Source organism: Homo sapiens, chromosome 2 (genome assembly GCF_000001405.40).
Source record: "Homo sapiens chromosome 2, GRCh38.p14 Primary Assembly".
Lineage (NCBI taxonomy): Eukaryota > Metazoa > Chordata > Mammalia > Primates > Hominidae > Homo > Homo sapiens.
The window spans coordinates 7,457,138-7,458,538 of NC_000002.12; the positions used below are offsets into that span (position 1 = coordinate 7,457,138).

General features: G+C 39.0%; 1 annotated feature.

Annotated features, from left to right (window-relative positions):
• Nucleotides 570-762: a silencer, noted in NCBI's record as "fragment chr2:7597838-7598030 (GRCh37/hg19 assembly coordinates)". NCBI's record gives its function as "represses an EF-1alpha promoter that drives an FKBP-Casp9 reporter gene in an ReSE screen in HepG2 liver carcinoma cells {active_cell/tissue: HepG2}" and the evidence as "EXISTENCE:reporter gene assay evidence [ECO:0000049][PMID:32094911]".

A 1,401-nucleotide genomic window follows, 5' to 3' on the forward strand; every position in this document is an offset into this window, starting at 1 on the left:
TTCTGAAGGATCTCAGGGCCCTGGAAAAGAGCATGTCGTTTCAGCAAGTCTCGACGCACCACTGCTGCGATTGAGCAGTGATCAGAATTGCATTTTAGATCAGCCACGTGAATGGATTCGCTGTCTGTGTTGCCTTTGAATGGCTGAGCGCAGAGGTATGAGACCCCTGTAAAGGCCATTTCCAGCGTCCAGGCAAGAATTGGTGAGAGCTCAAACAGAGTAACAGAATCAGGGATGGAGAGGAATCTACAAACTGTGCAGTTCATAACTTGTCTCTCAGTTTGACCTTTTTACTCAGCTTATACTGTAAGCCAAGCAATATCATTATCTATAAATTTAGGTTTACATTTTAAAAGAAAATAACATGATTTTTTATTAGCTAGTTTTGAACAGTCTTGTTTTGTTAACTTTCTGTTTATTCATGCAACAGACTCTCTGACAGATACATTAACCTGGAAGGCATTTTACATACATCGTATTCCTGTTTTGATACAACCTATAATAATAATTTTCAATTTTTCTTTTACATTAAAAATAACACATTTGTTACTAGATGAGTTTTATGTCAGTTGGGTAAGATAATAATTCAAAATTTTACTGAATTTTTTTGTTTGCGACAGTTTGGCTCTGTCACCCAGGCTGGAGTGCCTGGCATGATCTTGGCTCACTGCAACCTCTGCCTCCTGGGTTCAAGCGATTCTCGTGCTTCAGCCACCCGAGGAGCTGGGATTACAGGTATTCACCATCACACCCGTCTAATTTTTGTATTTTTTTGTAGAGATGAGGTTTCATCATGTTGACTAAGCTGGTCTTGAACTCCTAGCCTCATGTGATCCACCCTCCTTGGCCTCTCAAAGTGCTGGGATTATAGGCATATGCCTCTGAACCTGGCCTCATGTATTTCTTTATAACAATGCAAGAACAGCCTAAAGCGAGTTCTCTTTGGAGGTAGTTTGCATGTTACATTTTAATGCTAATAATGAACATCTTGCATATACCTTGATCCCATATTTTGAAGTGTTTCCATAGGAAAGATTTTTATGAACATTTATTAGGTCAAAAGATATGCACATTTTTGTGGTTTTATTTTATCTTTCATGAGGAATGTTGCCTGCACTCAATCTACACCAACATCTTTGGAGTTTTGGCTTATTTTAGATCTTTGAGCAGATTCAGTTAACTCATTTATTTTATTGTGTTTTGTTTTAGGAGACACTGGTTAGAGTCTGGCCAAATTCCAGTAAAATAGGAAAATACCAAATCTGAGACAGAAGAGAGTCAGTGTCAAGGTCCCGCATTAATCTACTTATTCCATCTGCAAGGGGCCATTGGGCACTTGGGGCCTTGACAGTGCTTGGCCCAGTCGGTGCTCAATAACTATGCATTACATTAAAGATAAAT